Source organism: Homo sapiens, chromosome 17 (genome assembly GCF_000001405.40).
Source record: "Homo sapiens chromosome 17, GRCh38.p14 Primary Assembly".
NCBI classification, from domain to species: Eukaryota; Metazoa; Chordata; class Mammalia; order Primates; family Hominidae; genus Homo; species Homo sapiens.
In genome coordinates, this window is record NC_000017.11 from 20610052 (window position 1) to 20634986 (window position 24935).

General features: G+C 44.9%; 1 long non-coding RNA gene and 2 pseudogenes across 2 annotated transcripts in view; 2 read left to right on the forward strand and 1 right to left on the reverse strand.

The window, feature by feature from the left end:
- On the forward strand, positions 2485–3116 carry LOC401875 (differentially expressed in FDCP 8 homolog (mouse) pseudogene; annotated as a pseudogene).
- Positions 2927–23200, reverse strand: LINC02088 (long intergenic non-protein coding RNA 2088). The gene is made up of 4 exons (NR_146887.1): positions 22986–23200; positions 21421–21498; positions 4437–4617; positions 2927–3023 (listed from the first exon to the last, which is right to left on the reverse strand). It is a non-coding gene; the product is annotated as a long intergenic non-protein coding RNA 2088 (long non-coding RNA).
- Positions 23201–23393: 193 nt separating this feature from the next.
- The window catches only part of LOC100287072 (ribosomal protein S6 kinase B1 pseudogene), a 107286-nt pseudogene continuing 105744 nt past the window's right edge, over positions 23394–24935 (forward strand). Inside the window, exon 1 of the transcript NR_172472.1 lies at positions 23394–23645. The product of NR_172472.1 is annotated as a ribosomal protein S6 kinase B1 pseudogene (transcript). The remainder of the gene's footprint in view (positions 23646–24935) is intronic.

Below are 24935 nucleotides of genomic sequence, written 5' to 3' on the forward strand. Positions count from 1 at the left end.
CAGGCAAGGTGGGGTTAAGGGAGTTTTTTAAGGAGGGAGAGACAATAGCAACTTGTTCTGTGTGAAGAGGACCTGGTGGGGGCCTGGGGCCTGGGACAGGAGGAGAGGCTTGCAGGAGTCAGGGCGGGGAGACTTGCTTTGGAAATCTGTAGATGTATGCCACTCCTAGAGTGGGAATCTTTTTTTTCGAGACAGAGTCTCGCTCTGTCGCCAGGCTGGAGTGCAATGGTGTGATCTCGGCTCACTGCAACCTCCGCCTCCCGGGTTCAAGTGATTCTCCTGCCTCAGCCTCCCGAATAGCTGGGACTACAGGTGCATACCACCATGCCTGGCTAATTTTTGTACTTTTAGTAGAGACGGGGTTTCACCATCTTGGCCAGGATGGTCTCAATCTCTTGACCTCGTGATCCACCCACCTCGGCCTCTCAAACTGCTGGGATTACAGGCAGAAGCCACTGCGCTCGGCCAAGAGTGGGAATCTTTACAGCTCCGTTTTACATACAGATCTAATTGGAAGGTAATTCACAATCAAGAATAAGTTAATATAGAGACCATGTCATTTGGAATTTAACCAATTATTTGGAGGTGGTACAGTAGCACATTTATCTCTTGGTGTACATTCAGGTTTTGTCCTTTTTTTGTTTCTCCTTTTCTAAACAGCTATGATTAAATCAAAGTGGTGGTGATTTTGCAGTGACAATGACTCTGCTGCAGAGGCTTCCTGCGTCTCAGAACCTGTGTCCTTCCCTAGCCTGAGGCCAGAGTATGAGCGTGTCCTCCTTCCTCAGAGGGAGCCCTGCCTCCCTGCTCAAGAGTCTCTCCTAGGAAGGGGTGGGCTTGGGAGGCTGCCCTGGGGTGGCCCCAAGGCTCCTAATGACTGGTGCCTGGCATTTGCCAGCAGCCTCGGCCAGGTGCTCGTCAGGACTGCGGGGCTGTGAGGACACAACCCAGTAGAAACTGGTCATTTGGTGAGTCATATAGCGGGCATCGCTCAGCCCTGGATTAGGGTCACAAAAAGATGACCCTCAGGAAAAGTCTCACCGAAAGTGGTCAATGTGGGCCTCTGAAAATGGGCCCAGAGGGAAGAGAGGCTGGGGAGGGAAGAGCTTAGGGGATCTGCAGAGCTAACGACAGAGGGACCCAGGATGAGCCAAGGCCTAGTGGGTCAACAGAAGGTGCTGGATGAAGCCGTGACAAGAACATGTGTTCAAGGCCGCTCCTCATGGCCATCTAGTTTCTGTCAGGATCACAGGCTGGGGCACGTGCTTCTCCTACGGACTGAGGGCTGCTTTAGAAACTGATGTGTTTTCTTATCAGAACACTTCTTGTCACCTCTGGAGAACATCCTGGCCTGGTCATCAGAGCCTCCAAGCGTCATGTGTCCCCTTTAATTCCTATGGGGCGTCCAGCACATGCATTGTTCCCGGCAGCCTCTGGAGGGACTCACTCTACTCCTCAGTGGAGGGGCACAGCCATGCCGAGAGGAAGCATGCCCCGTCACACATGGCCAACTGGCTCTCTGCAGAAAGGGGCAGTGCTGTTCCAAAGGCCCTCTCAGGTGGCTTCACGTGACAGGAGAGACAATGGGCAATGGAAATAACCAGGACAAAGCCTCCAGGCTGCATCTCTAACACACAAGATGCTCAGAAGAACCCAATTTGATCTGTGTGGTGTAAATGAAAAATTTGAGGCTGGGCATGGTGGCTCACACCTTTAATCCCAGCACTTTGGGAGGCTTATGTGAGAGGATCACCTGAGCCCAGGAGTTCAAGACCAGCCTCGACAACACAGCAAGACCCTGTGTATTAGTCCATTCTCACACTGCTATAAAGAAATACCTGAGACTGGGTAATTTATTAAGAAAAGAGGTTTAATTGTCTCAAGGTTCTGCAGGCTATGCAGGAAGCATGGCAGCTTCTCCTTCTGGGGAGGCCTCAGGAAGCCTTCAATCATGGCAGAAGGGGAAGGGGAGTGAGATCTCTCACCCGGCGGGAGCAGGAGCAATAGAAAGCAAGCGGGGAGGCGCTGCACACTTTTAAACAACCAGATCTCACAAGAACTCACTGTCGCAAGAACAGCACCAAGACAATGGTGTTAACCATTCATGAGAAACCTTCCCCATAATCCAGTCACCTCCCACCAGGCCCCACCTCCACCACTAGGGATTACAGTTCGACATAAGATTTAGGTGGGGACACAGATCCAAACCATATCACCTTCTCTCTACTAAAAATAATAATAATAAAAGCCAGATATGGTGGCACCACCTGTAGTCCCAGCTACTCAGGAGGCTGAAGCAGGAGGATCACTTAAGCCCAGGAGTTCAAGGCTGCATTGAGCTATGATGGCACCACAGCCTAAACAACAGAGTGAGGCCCTGTCTCAAAACAAAAACAAACAAACAAAAAACTGATTTGGATTTGTATTTCAGTCTTCTGTTTTCTGTTCTTTAATACCCTTATTAAAGAAACCGGATGTGAGGCGGCGCAGCGGCGGTCAGGTGAGCGACGCGGGAGCGGTCAGCAGGTGGCGAACCCACGGCCAGGCTTCCGTGGCAAGCAGCCCTAGAGGAATGGCCGTCCTGTCCCTGCGAGCCCCTGGGCCCTGGCAGGCGATCCAGGTGGGATGCCATGGAATATGATGAGAAGCTGGCCCGGTTCCGGCAGGCCCACCTCAACCCCTTCAACAAGCAGTCTGGGCCGAGACAGCATGAGCTGGGGCCCTGGGGAGGAGGCCCCAGACATCACTCCTGAAGAGGCCCTGCCTGAGCTGCCCCCTGGGGAGCCGGAGTTCCGTTGCCCTGAACGCGTGATGGATCTCGGCCTGTCTGAGGACCACTTCTCCCGCCCTGTGCTGCGGCAGGTGATCGAGGAGTGCAAGCAGGTGATTCTGGAGCTGCCCGAGCAGTCGGAGAAGCAGAAGGATGCCGTGGTGTGACTCATCCACCTCTGGCTGAAGCTCCAGGAGCTGAAGGACCCCAATGAGGATGAGCCAAACATCTGAGTGCTCCTTGAACACGGCTTCTACGAGGAGAAGAGCAAGAGCGTCAAGCAGACCTGTGATAAGTGTAACACCATCATCTGGGGGCTCATTCAGACCTGGTACACCTGCACAGGGTGTTATTACTGCTGTCACAGCAAGTGCTTGAACCTCATCTCCAAGCCCTGTGTGAGCTCCAAAGTCAGCCACCAAGCTGAATACGAACTTAACATCTGCCCTGAGACAGGGCTGGACAGCCAGGATTACCGCTGTGCTGAGTGCCAGGCGCCCATCTCTCTGCAGGGTGTGCCCAGTGAGGCCAGGCAGTGTGACTACACCGGCCAGTACTACTGCAGCCATTGCCACTGGAACGACCTGGCTGTCATCCCTGCATGCATTGTACGCAACTGGGACTTTGCACCTCGAAAGGTTTCTCGCTGCAGCATGTGCTACCTGGCGCTGATGGTGTCTCGGCCCGTGCTCAGGCTCCGGGAGATCAACCTTCTGCTGTTCAACTACGTGGAGGAGCTGGTGGAGATTTGCAAGCTGCGCCAGGACATCCTGCTCATGAAGCGGTACTTCATCACTTGCAGGGAGGCCATGGAGGCTCGTCTGTTGCTGCAGCTCCAGGATCAGCAGCATTTTGTGGAGAACGATGAGATGTACTCTGTCCAGGACCTCCTGGACGTGCATGCCGGCCACCTGGGCTGCTCACTCACCGAGACTCACACGCTCTTCACCAAGCACATCAAGCTGGAACGCGAGCGGTGCCAGGCCAAGGGCTTCGTGTGTGAGCTCTGCAGAGAGGGCGATGTGCTGTTCCCATTCGACAGCCACACGTCTGTATGCACCGACTGCTCCACCGTCTTCCACAGGGACTGCTACTACGACAACTCCACCACGTGTCCCAAGTGTGCCCAGCTCAGCCTGAGGAAGCAGTCACTCTTCCAGGAGCCAGGTCCTGACGTGGAGGCCTAGCGCTGAGGAACAGTGCTGGGCACCCCACCTGGCCCACCGGGACCCACCCTGCCAACGTCAAGTTGTTCGTTCTGCTCTGGAGACCCCTGGGTTGCGGCCCCTGGACCCCTCCACCCCTGCTGGGCCAGAGCGGGTGGGCAGTGTCAAGGCCCGTTGTCTCCCAGGTGCTTGCTGGGACTCGGGGTGGCCGCACCTGGCTGTCACCTGGGTGTGCTGCTGTGAGGGGTCCTTGCGTGGCCCCCATCCTTCCCCCAGTGCAGAACTCCATGGGCAGGGAGTTGGGGGGATATCTCACCTCCCCCATGGCACAGAGCCCTCCACACTCCTGAACCAGAGCATCCGGGCCCTAGAGATTCCACAGTTCCCATCCTGACCACCCTGGAAACTCATCAGGCCAAGACCCCGAGAGAGCTTCAGAGGAGTGTTGAGTAACACCTGAGGATGCGGCTGCACACACTCAGCCAAGGGCCGAGTCTCACCTGCAGTGGGGTTTCGGCTCTGCCTGGGGGCTCCATCACTTTCAGCCACTCGTCGCCTTGGGGATTTCTGGTTGTCCCCAGCTGGGGCTGTTCACAGTTGTCACCTGTAGACCTGCCTCTCCCTGGCCTGAGGTTCAAAGGCCTCATTGGGTGGTCAGTCCAGTGGGGTCACCTGTTGTTCCTGTACAACAGCAAGGAAGGGGACCATGGAGCTTTTCCCTGCTGGGTGCTCCTGCTTTGGCCCAGCCCAGCTTTCCTGGTGCTCCAAGCTAGGAGGCCATGGCCCCAGCCTAAAGAGGGTGTCCTGGTCTCCAGGTGTGGAGCAAGGACTGTGCACTGGGGGAGGTTCCAGTTAGGTGATGGGATCCTGCAGTGGTCTGGTGGCATTTCTTGGAACCAGATTTACCCAAGGAGATCTGTCCTGCTGCCTGTGGAGGGCTCCAGATAGCTCAGAAATGACCAGCCAATGGCCTTTTGTTTGGGGGCCTGAGATCAAGAGCTGAGAGTATTCACTCGACTGAGCCCATTCAGGAAGATCAGGGCAGGGGCGTGTGGGAGGTCCCTCACTCCACGGGACAGAGGCCCCTGGACAGCAGAGGAAACCTACAGCTCTGGGTGAGGGGATACTTGGCTTTGGTGTTTGCACTTTACAGATCCTGCGGTCCACGAGGGGCCTCAGGAGAGGATGTGTCAGGAGGTGGCTTCCCAGCCTTCTGCCTTGGGCAGTGGGGGTGCTCCTATCTGTCCTTTTCCCCTACACCCTGGACTGTGCTTGGCTGTTGGTGCACATGGTTGGCACACACGGTGGGCAGAGGGAAGAGAATGCCACTGCTTGGATATTTGTCCTCTTTGACCAGAAAACCCAAGAGGAGACACCTCAGTCAGCAGAAAGGCCGCCTGGCTCACTGGCTCATTCCAGGAGTGGGAGAGACGGCAGGGTCTCCTCTTTGCCCTCCACCATCAGGAAGGGGATGGTGTCCTCTCCCCACTGTGGTGGCTTTAGGCAAGGTTCTTACTGTCAGCTCTGCCTCGGTTTCCCCATCTGGAAAATGGGGGCAGGGGTACTGACCTACGTCAGGTGGAACAGTGAGCAGGGAGTCCTTTAGAGAGTGTGATGTGAGGTTGGATCAACAGTGTGGGTTCCTGTCCTGCTTCCCCTTCCTCTTTGGGGCTGAGGAGGGGGTTAAAGGCCAAATGCTGTTTCCCAACACCCCAAAGTCTGCACATGTCTCTTGAATGCATCACATTTCTGTCATATGGATATTAGCCATTCCGAAATCTGTGTAATCAACTTCACATTATTCAAGTTACAAATCACTGTGTGCATAGAAAAACTGTGCTGGTATTTGCTGGACAAAGGGTTGGGCCCCTTTTATTTTTACCTGCCACCCAGCATCTCCCCCACCTGCCCCTTCTGGGTGATACAGTCTGTAAACAGAATCACGTATGGGTCTTTCTATGGGTCCGTAGCACAGCAGGAAGAGCCTGGTGCCGCCAGCACCTCATGGAAGACCACATATGGGTGGTCCCACAGCATGGGACCAAGCTGGCCTGAGGGATGCCCAGTTGTAACAATGCTGCTGTCACTGTCTCATTAAATATATGTCCTTTAAAAAAAAAAAAAAAAAAAAAAAAAAAAACCAGAAAGAACCCGCACAGCTTATCTTCATTTTGGTACTCCAATCTCAATATCATTTTTTAAATTGCTTCAGCAGTGGGAAGAGATTCCCAGGGAGATATTGTGATATTCTCCAGCCAAAGCTTTATTACTAAGGTTCCTGTTGAGGGAAAATTCAAATAGAGGAAAAGCCTCATATTTATTGTAAGAAAGTTTAAGGGTAGTTGCCAAAAAAAAAAAAAAATCCCAAACTCAATGCAAAATTACTGTTGCAGTATTTTTCCATTCTTATATCTGTAATAATAAGCAAAATGATCAATGAGCCACATTTCAACCCTTAAAATAAGTATACTTACCAATTACTCAAAGAAGCTCACAGTAATCTCCAGGCTATCTTGAACAACCAACCTGCTAAAGATGCCACAGGTGCCTCAACACTGAAGGAATCAGGTCTATGCCAGCTCAGCTACTTCCTAAAGTTAAACCTTGGAATACACACACATTGAGTTTCTCTACAGCTTTAGGATGCACAGTGGTTGTTATTGTTGCTAGACAAGTCCTTGAAGATTATCCTCTGACTCAAAGCTTTAAAGAAAAATCTTACTGGAAAGGAATTCTTTGGTGAGATGTAGATCAGCATGGCACGCTGTAGGCAACATTTAGGAAGGAAGGCTGATTTCTTCTCTCTCATTCCAACTGCCTTTGTGATACCTGCTTGGGCATTGCCCAGGGATTCCAGCGGTCAGAGGTTCTGTAGGATGGTTTTTCTTTTTTTTTAAATCCTGCCTCAGGTTTATTTGTACAAATAGCACAGGAGGACACCAGCCCCATGCATATAGCAGCCCAGGGGTCACACCAGTCCTTCTGTTCTCAGATTGACAGAGACCTCTACTCTGAAGGCTGCCTGGTGGCCTGGACACCTTTGGAAGCCTGAGCTAGAACTGAAGCTGGAGCTGCAGACTGGGCCTTGGTTTGATCCTTGGCCTTTGGCCGGCAGAACCTGAAGGATGACATTTCTAGCAGAGCTCCAGGGAAGTCTTGCTGGACAGGGCATCTCCTCTGCCCCACCCTTGCTCCTCGAGTCCAGGCTCTTTGCATGGAGGCCCAGTGAACATGGCTGGAGCTCTAAACTTATGTGCTGGTGGACAAAGGTCAGTGACAATCACAGGACACCCCTCTTAACCTATGCATGTAACTTACCAGTGGCTCTTTGGAAATATGGCCTCACCTCTGCTCTCTAGTTCACAGTGACTTGAATGCCTGGGTGTCAGGTTAGGACAGGGTCCCATTTCAGGAGCTAGCAAATGGAAGAAAGCAGGAGGGCAAGGCAGCAGGCAGGTGATAATGTAGACTGTGGCCAGATGGAGTAGGTTCCAACCTTGGACCACCATTCATCTGCTGTGTGAACAGAGGGTGGATACCTTTAAGTGGTAGGGGACTCTGGCTGGGCACGGTGGCTCACGCCTATAATCCCAGCACTTCAGGAGGCCAAGGCGGGTGGATTGCCTGAGGTCAGGAGTTTGAGACCAGCCTGGCCAACATGTCGAAACCCCATCTCTACTAAAAATGCAAAAATTAGCTGGGCATGGTGACGGGTGCCTGTAATCCCAGCTACTCAGGTGGCTGACTGTGCATCTGTGGCTGGGGTGGGTGAGGCTTTGTTTGGTATTTTTATTGCCTATTTTTCTTTTTTTATGCTCAAAGCTACTCCTGGGCAAGTTCCCTGACTCTTGAATCTTTTTCAAAATTTAGCTCTTCTGTAATATTTAAACTTAGCTAAGTTGGCCACTATGCAAGCCTCCTGGATTTCCTTCCTTCAAGATATTATAGCATGACTCTTTTGCTAAATTTGTATTCTCATGCAATATTAGCATGAGGAAAATTTTACAACATTTAAAAAAGTGAATATAGCTACTGATAATGAATGTTAAGCTACATTGACATTCATTTTGGAATTAGTGATCACCTACTAAGTTGAACCACATGAAATTTCTGTGGTGTAAATCAAGTCGGTTGAGTACAGGTGACTTCATATGGTTGAACCTACAGGTGACCCTGGATCACTCCTCCACTCCTCATTTTGTAATCCAAGAAAAGGACTCTCAGGATGTGAAGTAACTTACTCATGGTCACATAAATTATTAGGCGTTGACTTAGAAACATATAATGTATTTTCTTAACTAAGGGAGTGAAAAATTCTTATTACTACTCCATTTACGAATTGCCTTGGCTATTCTTGCATGTAAATAGATATACACATACATACACACACACACACACACACACACACACACACACACACACATATATATATATATATATATTTTTTTTTTGAGACAGAGTTTCGCTATTATTGCCCAGGCTGGAGTGCAATGGCTTGATCTCAGCTCACTGCAACCTCTGCCTCCCGGGTTCAAGTGATCCTTCTGCCTCAGCCTCCAAAGTAGCTGGGATTACAGGCATGTGCCACCATGCGCAGCTAATTTTTGTATTTTTAGTAGAGACAGGGTTTCTTCATGTTGGTCAGGCTGGTCTCAAACTCCCAACCTCAGGTGATCTGCCTGCCTCAGCCTCCCAAAGTGCTGGGATTACAGGTGTGAGCCACTGTGCCTGGCCTCTTGCATGTAAATATTTTGAGATACAAATTGAATAATTTCATTTTACTTGAGGGATAATTTAGGGGAAAGTAACATCTTTGTAATAGTGAGTCTTGATACCCAAGGATGCAATGTATTTAAGTCTTCTATCATGCCCTTCAGTGGTGTTTTGAATATTTCTTCATGGAAAGCTTAGGACATTTTTAATTTTTTTGTTTCAGATTCAGGGGTCAATTTTTCCTTTATTTTGAACTAATTATGCATACATATGAACAATTGTTTTCTGAAGTTACTTTCACAGGGAAGACCTTTACTGAATTTTCTTAATGTTGTTTTTCAAGGTACTGGCTTATGTTTCCAAGAAACAAATAAAGATAATTTTACTTTGTTTTTAATGTTTATGCTTCTTGTTGTACTCCCTTCTCTAAGTTAATGTGCCTGATAACTTTTGAAAGTAAGAATAGAGACACAGGAAAGAGGCCAGAAGGTTGGAATAAGGGCTAAATAAAGAAACTTATTGCCACCAAAATAAAGACGAATCCAGGTTAATCCTCTCTGGTATTGACTTGTGAGAAAAGATGGACATCGGCATGTAGGACCTTAGAACGACAGGAAGAATGAAGAAAAGAGCCTCAGAGCACAGCCTGGTGATATCATAGAAGACATGTATTTAAGGCATTTCATCTCTCGGTGACGACTTGCTTCAGGTCCTTGCACATGCATATATGGAGAGAAGGGTGTCAAAGCACAATCTCATGTTTGCTCTGATTTTTCTCTCTATGAATTGTTTTTAATTTCCTTTTTTCAGAGACCAACAGATTTGTAGAAAATGAGGCAAGATTATTTACAGAACATTAGCTTCTGTATATAATGTTTATATTTATATTATGACATTTTGTTGACATGGCCAAAACGATTTTACCTTTAGGTAAATAGAAGAACTGCTTGATCGAAAAGATGCCCACTTTTCAAGAGCACAGTTGAAGGGAACAGTTGAAGGTGATAATCACAATAACATAATGGTAGGAAGAACAGAAATTGCTGTGTGCTTGCTTTATGCCAAGCATTGAGCACAACTTTGAAATGGTTAAATCTCATTTAATCCCCACAATAATAATGACTGTTTTATAGATGAAGAAACTAGAGTTTACAGAAGGGAAATTACTCAAATCTACAGTTTATAACTGGTTTTTATTTTCACAGCCAGGTCTGTAGGACTTTAAAGCCCCAGCCTAGGCACTACTTTTGTCCTAAAGATGTGCATTTATTGTCTGTGATATGTAAGAGACCATAAATATTGGTCTCAATGCAAATTAATTTTCAAAGATCTATCAACAAAAGTAAGCTTGGTAAAAGATGATTTTAAACAGAACATTCAGTAAAGATTAAACAAGATGCACAATCCAATCAAAGAAAATGTGTTAAGTCCTCACAGGGGCATTTTCTACAGATTTACACATAGCTTTTCCATGTGAAAAGGAAACTATGTAATTCTTGTTTAGCTTCCTCCATCTAAAGTGACACAATGTACCAAATAGCTTAAATTAATGGTTAGATTTGGTTAATTATCAAGGCTTCCTCTTTGAAAATCATAAATTTATTTTACTTTTTTTTTTTTTTTTTGAGGCGGAGTTTTGCTCTTGTTGCCCAGGCTGGAGTGCAGTGGCGTGATCTCGGCTCACTGCAACCTCCGCCTTCTGGATTGAAGTGATTCTTCTGCCTCAGCCTTCCGAGTAGTGGGGATTACAGGCACCCACCACCACACCCAGCTAATTTTTGTATTTTTAGTAGAGACAGGGTTTTACCAGGTTGGCCAGGCTGGTCTCGAACTCCTGACCTCAGGTGATTCACCTGCCTCGGCCTCCCAAAGTGCTGGGATTACAGGTGTGAGCCACCGCACCTGTCCAAAAATCATAAATTTAACTTGGATATGGAATTAATTTGGCCCTTTCTTTATTTCAGTGAAAGACGTATAAAAAATTGCCCCCTTATCAACACAAAGGGTTTCTCCTGACCATTATTTCCAGGTATGCACAGTCTCCTAACTATGACAACAGAAATCATTCTGAACTCCTTCCATTTCCCAGGGAGAAAACAGAAGCACCTTGGGCAGAGTGAAAAAGAAACCACCTGGAGAGGAGGCCCTGCAACATGAACCCATCTTTAGGCCCAAGGGCATTCTGACATCTGAAATCAAAGTCATGATTGCCTCCATTTCTAGAAAATGTTCCAGAAATATTTCCAGGATATATAATTATTAAAGCACAGGCTTTGTTGTCTTTAGGCTTGGAAAGGTCTTTGAAAGTTATTTGGATTAAATCATTAGAAATTTACTAACACTGATATCAAGTTAATGGTTAAAAACAAAGCTTTGTCCACCCCCAGGCCCAGGAGAAATGTGCACATATGTTCACCAAGAGACGTGTACAAGTATTTTCACACCAATATTATGAGCCAAAAACTCAAAACAACCCAAATGTTCACCTAAAGTGGAATAAACACAGTATTGTGGCGTTCCTATAACGAACTACTACTACGCAACGAGCACAAATAAACTCTAACTCCCAATAATGTGACCGGATCTCACAAACATTGTATTGGAATACGGAGGCCAGACCCAAAAGAGGATGTTGTACATGGATGAAATTTATAGAAAATTCAAAAACAGGCAAAGCTGATACATGGTATTAGACAGGGCAATGATTATCCTTAGTGCAGAGGGAGACAGTGACTAGAATGATGCATGAGGGAGGTTCTGGGTTTCTGGGAATGTTCTGTTACTGTTCGTGTTAGGAGGAGGGGTGCAAAGGGTAGTGACGAGGCCCACCCTCTGGACCCTGCAGCATGAGAGAGAGTCTTGATCCTGATGGCAGAAACCATCCCCCGAGCCCAGGGCCACCCATAGGACAGACACCACGAAGCCACATTCTGAGGCCAGTCTCAGCCATTCTTGCTGCCCTCCAACCCTGTCCCAGCCAAAGATGAACCTCCAGGGGTGGGGAAGGATGGACAGACAGCATCCAATGCACTCTGAGAGCCTCTGCACCTGGGTGGATGAATCTTTGTGTCCAGGGCTGGCTGTCAGTAGATCCAGGCTTTCATTCCTAGAAGTGGTTAGTTTCCAAGATTTTCAGAAAATAATGTCTAATTATAAAATTTTAAAAATATATAGAAGAGTTTTTGGCCAGGCATGGTGGCTCATGCCTGTAATCCCAACACTTTGGGAGGCCGAGGTGAGTGCATCACCTGAGGTCAGGAGTTCAAGACCAGCCTGACCAACATGGAGAAACCCCGTCTCTGCTAAAAAATACAAAATTAGTTATGCGTGGTGGCACATGCCTGTAATCCCAGTTACTCAGGAGGCTGAGGCAGGAGAATCACTTGAACCTGGGAGGCGGAAGTTGCAGTGAGCCGAGATCATGCCATTGCACTCCACCCTGGGCAACAAGAGTGAAACTCTGTCTAAAAAAAAAAAAAAAAAATATATATATATATATATACACACACACACACACACACACACACACACATATATATATAGAGAGAGGAGTTTTATAATAGCAATACAAAATGAAACCATCATGTATTTCACAGATAAATTTAAAAACTGAATTAAAAAGTATATCAAATCCCATATTTTTTCAGTTTGCTGGCCTGAAATAAAGTAATAATGTGAGGTTTAAGTAATGTCAATTATTTTCACAACTATAATACCATTCAGTGTTTATCCTGTACTCTGTACTCTCTTTATAATTAAGGATCTATACAGACCATTACAAAACACTTGAGTGGGCTGAAACCATTAGGGTCCATTCTGGAACTATTGTTTTCAATTTGCTCTCCCAACTTGCATATTCTTATGTGTTCAGCATTTCTTATTAACCCTGTATTTTTGTCCACTCATTTTTCACTTCTTAAATTTCACTCTATCTTACTGATAATATTTCAGGCTTCTTCTGAGAAAACAAGAGGCTGGGCATGGGTGGCTTATGCCTGGAATCCCAGCACTTTGGGAGGCCAAGGCGAGCGGATCACTTGCATCCAGAAGTTCAAGACCAGCCCGGGCAACATGATGAAACCCCATCTCTACAAAAAATACAAAAAATTAGCTGGGCATGGTGGCACACTCCTGTAGTCCCAGCTACTCGGGTGGATCACTTGAGTGCAGAAGGTCAAGGCTGCAATGAGCCATAATCGCACCACTGCACTCCAGACTGGGTGCCAGAGTAAGACCTTGTCTCAAAAAAAAAAAAAAAAGAAAAAAAAAACTAAATTGGAAATTGCTCAGTTTACTCCCTTATAACTGCTATAGTATGGATGTTTTTATGCAACAAGAGAGCTAAGAAATCCTTCTAACAATTTCCTGAAGTAGATCACAAATATCTTACTACTCTACAAAATTTTTATTATTTCTTATACTTAATGATATCGTTATTGATATATCATTTCAAGGCAAGTAGTAACAGTTGTCACTGGAGAAGTTGTTTATATAAGAAGTGAAATAATCTGTTAAACCTCACTTTAAGTGTGCCAGTTTTGATGCTAGGACTAAGGCAATGTGTATCCAAGTGTAGATCTGTGCCAGTTATATCAGAATCAAGGATGCTTATTAAAAATGCAAACTCTCACATCTGTAATCCCAGCACTTTGGGAGGCCGAGGTGGGTGGATCACCTGAGGTCAGGAGTTCGAGACCAGCCTGAACATGGAGAAACCCTGTCTCTACTAAAAATACAAAATTGGCCGGGTGTGGTGGCACATGCCTGTAATCCCAACTACTCGGGAGGCTGAGGCAGGAGAATTGCTTGGACCTGGGAGGCAGAGGTTGCAGTGAGCCGAGATCACGCCATTGCACTCCAGCCTGGGCAACAAGAGCAAAACTTCATCTCAAAAAAAAAAAAAAAAAAATGCAAACTCTCTTGGGCCCTTTCTCAAATGTGCAAACCATAATTCTGTGCCATGGCCTGGGACCTGCATTTTGACGTCTAAAGTGATTTTCTTTCACACTGAAGTTTGAGAACCTTTGATTTAAGATTTCTACCATTAGCTACTACAAGGAGAAGAGGAAAATAATTGTTGATTTTAGCCAAAAAGAACAAACAGTCTTTTTAATGTGAGTCACTTACTCCTTGAAAATGGCTTAGAAATCCAGAAGACCTGGCCTCTACTCCTCACTCTGATTTAATGTGTGAACTTAAGAGTCTCGTACATGTATCCTTCCTTCCTTCCTTCCTTCCTTCCTTCCTTTCTTTTTTGAGATGGAGTTTCACTCTTGTTGCCCAAGCTGGAGTGCAATGGCAATGGCACAATCTCTGCTCACTGCAACCTCCGCCTCCCGGGTTCAAGCGATTCTCCTGCCTCAGCCTCCCAAGTAGCTGGGATTACAGGCATGCACCACCATGCCTGGCTAATTTTGTACTCTTAGTAGAGACAAGGTTTCTCCATGTTGGTCACCCTGGTCTCGAACTCCTAACCTCAGGTGATCCACCCACCTCGGCCTCCCAAAGTGCTGGGATTACAGGTGTCAGCCACCGCGCCCAGCCCAGACATTTATTTTTTCTAGGCTCTGCTTTCTCTGATCTAAAATAAGGTGGTTGGGATTTTATTAATCTATCAAGTACAAACATTTTCTTTCTTCCCTTGAGTCCACTTCCAGGCAGCAACAGGACTTGATTCTGCAGCAGATCCTGTCCTCATGAAAAGTGCTGGCTGAGAGCCCGGTGGCTCATGCCTATAATCCCAGCACTTTGGGAGGCCAAGGCAGGAGGATTGCTTAAGCCCAGGAGTTGGAGTCCCAGCTACTTGGGAGGCTGAGGCAGCGAGCTGAGATTGTGCCAGTGTACTCTAGCTTGGCGACAGAGTAAGACTCTGTCTGAAAAACAAAACAAAACAAGAAAAACGAGAAACTCTTGGGAGCTTTATGGCCTTGCCCATCACCAAGAATCCAAAATACTTACCCTGGCCATCTGAGGGCAAGCTTAGAGCCCCCTACTACTACCACAGCTGGTGCTCTCTTGAGAGCACCACCTCCTGGCTGGAGGCCAACCAACTCAGGTCATTACAGCAACTCATGACAGAACAACTCTGATCCCAGGAAGCAGAAGACAACACCTAATTCCACTGCCTGCAACAACTTGGCTAACCAGAGGTCTGGAGCGTGTCCACCTGACAACGTCACTGCTAGCATAACCAGCATTCAGGAAAGCCAGCACACTAAACATATCTACAACCAGAGACTCTTCATAGAGTCTACTTCACTTCCATGCCACCTCCACCAGAGCAGGTGCTGGTACCCCTGGCTGGGACACCAGGAGACGGATCACATCACAGGACTCTTTGCAGACATCCCCCAGCACCAGCCCAGAGCCCGACAGCCCCGCTGGGTGGCAAGACCCAGAAGAGCAATAATAATCACTGCAGTTCAGCTCTCAGGAAGCCCCATCCTTAGGGGAAGGGGGAGAGCACCATCTGAAACGATAACCCTGTGGGACAAAAGAATCTGAACAGCAGGACTTGAAAGATCACAACAGCTTCCCAGCAATGGATCCAAACCAAGAAGAAATCTCTGAATTGCCAGATAAAAGTCTACACATTGGGTACAATGTATACTGTTTGGGTGACGGGTGCACTAAAATCTTAGTAATAACCACTAAAGAATTTATCAATGTAACGAAAAACCACCTGTTCCCCAAAAACTATTGAAATAAAAAATTCAAAAAAAAGAAAATCTGTTCTCCAGCTACAACAGAAGAAAATTACCAGTTAAGTAAGTGAATTTGGTGAAACTCACAAATATGTGGAAATTAAACGACATAGTCCTAAGTTATCAATGGGTCAAAAAACAGCACAAAGAAAATTCAAAATATGTTGAGATTACTTAACGTGAAGATGCAACGTACCAAAAAGTAGGGGATTCTGTGAAAGAGTACTTAGAGGAAAACAGGTATCAGTCAATGTCTATACTAAAAAAGGAAGAAATATATCAACAGCCTAATATTTGTTAAAAACATTTAGAAGCAAATGAACTACCTGCACAACCTGAGGCAAAGAATGTATCTGTTGGGGGAAACAATGTACATGCTGAAAAGCCTAAGTGGAAAGACTAGGGAATTAAATGTTATGAGATTAGGGCTTTGAAAAACATCCACCAATTCCTGGGAATTTACAGTTTCATGTCAATATTCAGGATGATGTATAGTCTTACAACAGACCTAGAAGGTGAAGGGGTTCATCAACACTAGACTTGCCTTACAATAAATGCCAAAGGGATTTCTTTAAGTTGAAAAGATAGGATGCTAATAAAAAACAAAAAGATATAAAAATATATATCTCACTGTTAAAGGTAAGTATGTAGACACAAACAGGATAATGGAATGCTATGTGATAGTGGTATGTAAATAATTTTAAGCAGAATATAAACGTTAAAAGGCAAAAAGCATTGAGAATATCTGAGGCCACAAAAATTTGTTAATGGATATACAATATATAAAAAATGAAATTCTGATCTAATTAACATAACATGAGTGGAGGAAATAAAAGTACAGAGTATTTGTTGTTTGTTGGTTTGTTTGTTTGTTTTGAGTTGGAGTCTCACTCTGTTGCCCAGGCTGGAGTGGAGTGGCATGATATCAGCTCACCACAACCTCCACCTCCCAGGTTTAAGCAATTCTCCTGCCTCAGCCTCCCAAGTAGCTGGGGTTACAGGCGTGTGCCACCACACCCAGATAATTTTTGTATTTTTAGTAGAGACGTGGTTTCACTATGTTAGTCAGGCTGGTCTCAAACTCCTGACCTCAGGTGATCCACCCGCCTCAGCCTCCCAAAGTGCTGGGATTACAGGCATGAGCCACCACATCTGACCAAGTATAGAGTGTTTGTATGTGATTAAAGTTAAGTGGTTGTCCACTGAAAACTGATGACTATGAAGTATAAGAACTTTTATGCAAGCCCCATGGTAACCATAAAGAAAAACTTTCGGCTGGCCACAGTGGCTCATGCCTGTAATGCCAGCACGTTGGGAGGCTGAGGCAGGTGGACCACGAGGTCAGGAGTTCAAGACCAGCCTGGCCAAGACGGTGAAACCCTGTCTCTACTAAAAATACAAAAATTAACTGGGCGTGGTGGCAGGCACCTGAATTCCCAGCTACTCAGGAGGCTGAGGCAGAGAATTGCTTGAACCCAGGAGGCAGATGTTGCAGTGAGCCGAGATCGTACCACTGCACTCCAGCCTGGGTGGCAGAGCGAGACTCTGTCTCAAAGAAAAAAAAAAAAAAAAAAAGAGGAAAAAAGAAAAACTTTCACTAGATACATAAAATAAAGAGAAATTAATCTATATAATCACTAAAAACAAAAAATCAAATCACAAAGGAAGATAGAAAGCAGAAAGTGAGGGAAAAAAATTGCTGAACAGAACATCATTAACCAAGTGGCAATAGTAAGTCTTAAGTATAATTACTTTACATGCAAATAGATCAAATGCATCAATCCAAAGATACAGATTGTCCAAAAGGATAGAAAACCAAGATCCAACGATATGTTGTCAACAACACTCACCTTAGACTTAGTAGAAGGAAATAAATAAAAAGATTAGAAGAAAAATAAATAAAGCAGAAATGAAGTTGTATACTTTAAATACACATAAGGTTTGTCAACTATATCTCAATAAAGCTGTAAAAAGAAAATGAAAAAATGGTGCAAAATTTTATCCGTGCAAGAAGAATAAGTCCTAGAGATCTATTATACAACATAGGTCCTACAGTAAATTTTACAGTACTTTATACTTAAAAAACTTGGGGCTGGGTGCAGTGGCTCATGCCTGTAATCCCAGCACTTTGGGAGGCTGAGGCAGGCAGAACATGAGGTCAAGAGATTGAGACCATCCTAGCCAACATGGTGAAACTCCGTCTCTACTAAAGATACAAAAAATTAGCTGGGTGTGGTGGCACATGCCTGTAGTCCCAGCTACTCAGGAGGCAGAGGCAGGAAAATCACTTGAACCCAGGAGGCGGAGGTTGCAGTGAGCCGAGTGCGCACCACTGCACTCTAGCCTGGCAACAGAGCAAGACTCTGTCTAAAAAAAAAAAAAACACACACACAAAACAAAACAAGACAAAACAAAACTTGCCTAGAGGTGTATTTTGTGTTGTGTTTTTATCACATAAAATATAAATAAGAGCACTGGGGAAAATTTTGGAGTTATTGGATATGTTTACAGAATAGACTGTGTTTATGGTTTTACAGATACATACTTATCTCCAAAACTATCCAACTTACATATTAAATATTTACTGCTTTTTGTAAGTCAATCATTCTTCCATAAACTCATTTTGTAAAAGGCAGATAAATAATAGAAGGAAAAATAGAAACAAAGAACAGGTGCAATGAATAGAAAACAGTTAACAAATATGGTTGATATTAATCCAGTTATGCCAATAACTAATCAATGGTCTAAATTCATCTATTAAAAGACAGATGTAGAGTGAATCAAAAAACAAAATGCAACTATATGTCATCTTCAAGAAACACTCTTTAAATATAAATACACATATAGTTTAAAAGTAAAGGTATACGGAAACATATACTATACTAAGACTAATTTTAAAAAAGCTTGTTTTGAGACAGAGGGGACTTTAGAACAAGGAAATTCATCAGGGATAAACAGGAACATTTGTTAATTTTAAAAGGGTCAATTTTTCAATCAGTGATATCAATGTACATATATATGCCTCAATGTATATGCCCAATGACAGAGCATCAAAACACAAGGCAAAAACTGATAGAACTGCAAAGAGAACTAGATACATCCAGTATTTTAGTTGAAGATTTTAATACTCTCTATCAGTAATAGACAGACATGGCAGACAGAAAAATCAGGACCGTCCTAGTTGAACTCCCCCAGCATAATTAATCAACTGAATATAATAGATATCTATAGAATACTTCCACCCAGCAACAGAATAAGGGAACGTCTACCAGGATACACCACATTCTAGGCCATAACATATACATTGAACAATGCAAAAAAAATAGAAATCACAAAACGTATGTTCTATGTTTTCATACCCAATGGAATCAAACTAGAAATCAGTAACAGAAAGATCTGGAAAATCCCAAGATACTTGGAGATTTAAAGCATATGCTTGTAAGTAAAATATGGGTCAAAGAAGACAACACAAGATAAATTAAAATTAGAAATAGTGTGAGGGTCTCTCATAGGGGGGCATATTGTGATGGTGAGACAGAAATCAGTGGCATCCTTGAAACGGTTGCTGGGAACTGAACAGCACCATCAGCAGAGAGGGCATAGTAGGTCCATTGGTGGCTAACCTATTAGAGGAGATACTGCGAGTGAGGTGCAGCTGCAGACTTGAGGCAGACTCCCCAATGGTGAGGGAAGAGCAGCAAATGAGTCATAACCAGGGTCTGACCGTAAGGTGGCAGGATGTCAGCAAAGGCATGACTAGTGAGCTAAAAGGCCGGCTACTGGGTGGTGTCTGAAATGACCCTATGATAAAAACTGTCCATGACCTGAGAGCCGAGTAATTGGTGAATAGGCCTGGAGAAGACACAATTATGTGAGGAACTTTGGGAAACCTGGGACAGCAAAAGCCATGGCACACTGAGGCTTGGAAAAATGGTTCCATGGGGATGTAAAAGGAGTTGAAAGGTCTGGGTGGTAGTAGGCTTGGAGTTGCTGCATTGTGAGCAATGGCAGGCTAGAATGGGACAGGACCGAGAGGACTCAGAACTAAGCAGTAAGGTCTAAACACACTGTGTGTGCTGGAGGTGATGTCATAGGCACAAAAACTTGATCTTGGAGGTGGCCCAATCAACCATTTTGGGTCCTATCCATCTCTAATGGCTGCAAAGCACAACTGAGATGCCAAGTGTCTCTAGGAGGCACAGGCTGTAGAAACAGTGATAAGGGTGGCCTAAGGGTTAAACTCAATGTGGCCTGAGGAGGGTGAAGAGCCTGAGGCCGACTGGTTGTAGATTTTGTCTGCCTGCCTTACTCTAAATATAGCCGCACAATTTGGACTCGTGGGGGAAAGGGTGGGAGCAGGGTGAGGGATAAAAGACTACCACACATTGAATACAGTATAGACTCTTCGGATGATGGGTGCACCAAAATCTCAGAAATCACCACTAAAGAACTTATTCATGTAACCAAACACCATCTGTTCCCCAAAAACCTACTAAAATTTTTAAAAAGTAACAATAGCTTAACAGTGTTGAAAAGAATATAACAATACAATAGTTCTTTCCTGATACAATTACATTTTCAATTTTATTAATTTAAGGGAGTATATTTGGGAATTCAGAAAGGTCAAGGGATGAGTACTCTTTAGATTTTTTAAAGGAAACATCAATTAGAATCATTTTGTTTTGCCATAAATAATGTCATATGCTGTTTAGTACACTGGAAATTTTTCTTCTATTATGTGACAAAAATCAAAGATGTATTCCAAAAACTAATTTTCTCAACATCAAAATTTATAATATGAGTAAATTATAATTTTAAAATTTTCCCTTAGAAATTCATACCTTCATAATGTTGATCTCCAGAACAAGGATTGAATACATTAGTCAGACATCAGTTTCTTGATGTTTTGAATAATATAGTCTGGCAATTTCTTCGGTTTCTTAGCCTTCTGTATATAATACATGGATGTTGTCCATATTATTGAAATGCAAATTTATTGAAAGGATACTAGCATGTCCACTGAGATTTATAGTGTATCAGTTTTGGAAAAATCCCATCTCATTATATGAAACTGTACTGAAATAAGAGCAAAACATTTGCAAACCATATAGCTTCAAGTAATTAGTGACTTGTTCAGGTCTGCCCCTTAAATTTTTCTGTTTTTGGAAGAAATCAATGAGTACAGACTGTTGAACTTGGATACTCCACATTTAAAGAATGCCATTTTAAATTCCATTCTTCCTGTAAAACTAACATTTTACATCCAAAAAAATAAGTAAATATAGCCCCACAATTTGATGGAAATGGCAGGCTGTTGTATCATGTGGGACGATGGCTCATTCCCATTGAGTTGTGTGGTTAGTTGTCAATATGAGGGCCCACTGAACCTCTCCCTCTTTGTTATCGGGCAGAAGGACATTATCCACATAGTGCCACAAGTGGACATCAGGTGGCAGTCAGAGGGTAGCTAGATCTAGTCATTGCAACCTTGAGCCAGCAGAGGATTGTTGAGGTAGTCCATCAGATGCCTCCTAATGGTGTACTGTCAGCCTTCAAATCTGAAGGTGAACTGCACCTGATCTTCTTCACAAATAGACACAATAGAACATGTTTGCCAGGTCAGTAACAAAACCAAGAGGGAGAAGCATTCTGAACTTCTTCCAAGACAATGACAATGCTGGGTAAGGGGACTCTAAAAGGAAGTACAGCCTTGTTGAGGTTGCGGTTTTTAGCAATGAGCCTTCATTCCTTTCCCTGGCCTTGAGAAAGGGCCATTGGTGAGTTAAAAGGTGAGATGGTGGGTTTCAGAACACAAGCTCTATTAACTGGGCAGACCCCCTCTGTGCCTTGCTTGGGTGATATTATGAGGTACTGACCACCTGGAGGAGTCTGGGGAGCTGTAAAAGTTCCCAGTAGGCATGACGTACTTCCATGCAAAGAACTTGGTGTGGTGAGACCCTCAGTTGGGGAACTGAAGTGCCAGAATGTCCAGGCCAATGATAGGAAATGGTCACTGAGAAATGGGCAGGAGAAACACTGGTGCTCAAGGGAGAAGGATGAGTCCTACCTTAACAGTGAGCATGGCAGGCATCCTAAGGGCTCATCTTCCTCTCAGTCCATCAACGGGCACAGGAAGGCTGGTGCACTGCATGGGCAAAGCAGAGATAAGAATGACCCATTATCCAGTGTGTAATAAGACTATACACGTCTACAGGTTTGACCACCAGACTTGGATGTGATAATCTGATTGACACAGGAAAAAAAGCATTTGGCTAAATCCATCATATGATTAAAACCCTAACCAAACTAGAAATTGAAGAGTACTTCCACAATCTGGTCAAGTGCATCTAAGAAAACCTATGATAAACATCCTCAACTAAGTTAGTGGGTAAAGAATGTTTACTCCATAAGATTGGAAACAATACATAAATAATCACTTTGACCACTTTCATCAACATTCTACTGAAGGATTTTGCTCAAGAAATAATGCTAGGAAAAAAATCAGCCAATGGCTCTTCAAAACACTTAACGTGGAAAGGACACCCTATTCACTAAGTGGTTCTGGGAATAGTGGCTGACCATATGCTTAAGAATGAAACTGGACCCCTCTCACTCACCTGTACAAAAATTAACTCAAGATAGATTAAAGGCCTAAATGTAAGACCTAAAACTATAAAGATCCTAGGAGAAAACCTAGGAAAACTCTTCCAGACACGGGAATGCTCATACATTGTTGGTGGGTATGTCAATTAGTTCAACTTCTATGGAAAAAGTAGGGAGGTATCTCAAAGAACTAAAAGTACAACTACCTTTCGACCCAGCAATCCCACTACTGGGTATCTACCCAAAGGGAAAGAAATCATTATATAAAAAGGCACTGCACTCCCATGTTTATCGCAGCATAACTTACAACAGCAAGGTCATGGAACCAAGGTAAGTATCCACCAACGGTTCATTAAATAAAGAAAATGTGGTGCATATACACCACAAAGTACTAGGCAGTCATAAAAAAGAACAAAATCATGTCCTTTGCAGCAACACAGATGCAGCTGAAGGTCATTATCCTACGTGAATGCAGAAACAGCCAAATACTGCATGTTCTCATGAAGATGGAGAGAATACACTGTGGGGACTCAAAAAGTTGGGGGGAAGAGTTGAAAACGTACCTACTGGGTACAACCTCCAATATTTGGGTGATGGGTATGCTAGAAGTTCAACCCCCCCCCCATTGTGCATGTGATATACATATAACAAACAAGCACGTGTACCTTCTGAATCTAAAATAAAATAGAAAAAGAAAAAAGCCAAAGAAAAACATCCCGGGAATCCAGGGAGCAGCGGCTACTGCCTCCACTGCTCACTGCAGCCCGCAGGTTCCACGCCGGCAGCTCCTGCCTGCGGGCAGTGGAGCTGCGGAGAATGGCGGGATGGGTCTAGGTGCCAGGGCCAGAGCCCAGGAGGGGCGCTGAGTGGGGGTCTGGCCGGCTTCTGCCTTGCACCGGAGCAGGGGTGCCTGGTGAAACAGTCAACCTGATGCTCTCTGGGCCTTGCCCACGTTCCACTTCCATCCACCCTCCTTTGCATCTTTCTGTGCCTGGGGCCCCCATAGGAAGCGGTCACATCCAGACTCACCAGGCCTGAGATGCTGGAGGATGGAGAAGCGCTTGCCACGGGAAAAATCCTCCAGGAACACATGAACAAAACTTCGCCTGCACCTGGGACATCCTTCCTTACGGCTGGCCTACGAGGCAAGTGTTCTGCACACGCTCCTTGGCTAACTCCAATGCAGAGGAGCACATGAGCCCAACCGCCATGGCAGGTGCAGATCTTTGCCTCCCTTTTACAATGACTGTATTCACTCAAATGACATATCCTGGAAGCCTCTTTCTGATAGGATGAGAGCAGACTCTGTACTACAACACAGATTGGATAAGTCTCCAACTCCGATTAGTGAAGATTATCCAGTCAGAGATGGAGACTATTATCCAATAAGAGTTGTCAAAAAAAGTTCCTTCTCACCCAATCAGAACCAAGCTTACAAGTACAGCAGTTGCGTACAGCCATGATAAAAGGGAGGTGAAGGCCCATTTCGCGATTTTCTTTTCGTGGAGGTTGGGCTCGCGTGTTTCTCTGCGCTGTGGTCGTCATGGACCGGAAGCGTGTGCAGCGCGCCTGCCTTGAGGCCAGCATCAGGGAAGGGTGTTCCCAGGTGCAGAGGAAGTGTCCTTCACGTGTTCCTGGAGGACTTTCGGCTCGCAAGCGCTTCTCCATTCTCCCAGCGTCTCGGGCCTGGTGAGTCTGGATGTGAGCGCATCCCACGGGGCCCAAGGCACAGAGAGAGAGAGAGGAACGGGGTGGAGGGAGGGAAGCGTGTGCAGGGGCCAGGAGCGCCAGGCTGCTCTGGCTTCCCGGCCCCCGCAGCCCGCCAGGAGCTGTGGCCCGGCTTGGGCCAAGGCAGAGGCCCGCCCTCCTGCTGCTGGCGCTGTCACCTCCCTGTGGTCCTGCCTTCTGGGTCCCTGAGGGCCTTCTGTCATCTGGAACTGGAAATAAGTTAGTGAAGCGAAGTTTTGTGAATATTTATTGGCTTTTGCGTCTTTGTCTTCATTTTCAGTGCTGGCTTTTCTGTTGGGTCATTTGTGTTCTTACGTTGATTTGAAGAATTTAAAAAGGTATTCTATAAATTAATCCTTTACGGGGTCATTTCTAGTGCAGATAGTTGTTTCTTAGTCTGGTCATTGTACCTTAATTTTATTTAACATTTCTTTCTTGCTGTACAGTATATTTACATATGCTGTAAATCATAAGTTTTTCTCCTATTTTTCTGCAAATAGGATATTTTACATGAGCTATTTTTGGATGTTAACTAATCCTGACTTTTTTAGTATATCCCACTTCGTATCCATGTGTTACATTTTCATATGTGGTTTAATTCATATGTTTTTTTTTAGAATATTTGTATTTCTGTTAATGAAAGAGAGGGCCTATAATTTTTTTTCTAATGTCCTGTTCAGATTGTGGTGCCAACGTAATGCTGGCTTCACAAAACAAACTGAAAAATATTTCCTGTATTTCTTCTCTTTGGAAGAGTCTGAGAAATTTAGGTGTTTTCTGCCTTAAATATTTGGAATATTTCTTTAGGTATGGAATTTTCCATGTGGAACAGTATTTTTGTTGGCTGGTTTGACTTCTAATAATTCAAATCCTTTGGTATATGTAGGAGTTTTCTTGTTTTATGTTATTTCTGTGCCCATTTTACTAAGTTTATTTTTATTTTTATTTTTATTTTTGGGGGGACAGAATCTCGCTCTGTCTCCCAGGCTAGAGTGCAGTGGCACGATCTCGGCTCACTGCAACTTCCGCCTCCCGGATTTCTCCAGCCTCAGCCTCCTGAGTAGCTGGGATTACAGGTGCGTGCCACCACGCACTGCTAATTTTTGTGTTTCTAGTACACATGGGGTTTCACTATGTTGGCCAGGCTGATCTCGAACTCCTGACCTCGTGACCCACCTGCCTCAGCCTCCCAAAGTGCTGGGATTACAGGTGTGAGCCACCGTGCCCGCCTGTATTTTTTAGTAGAGATGG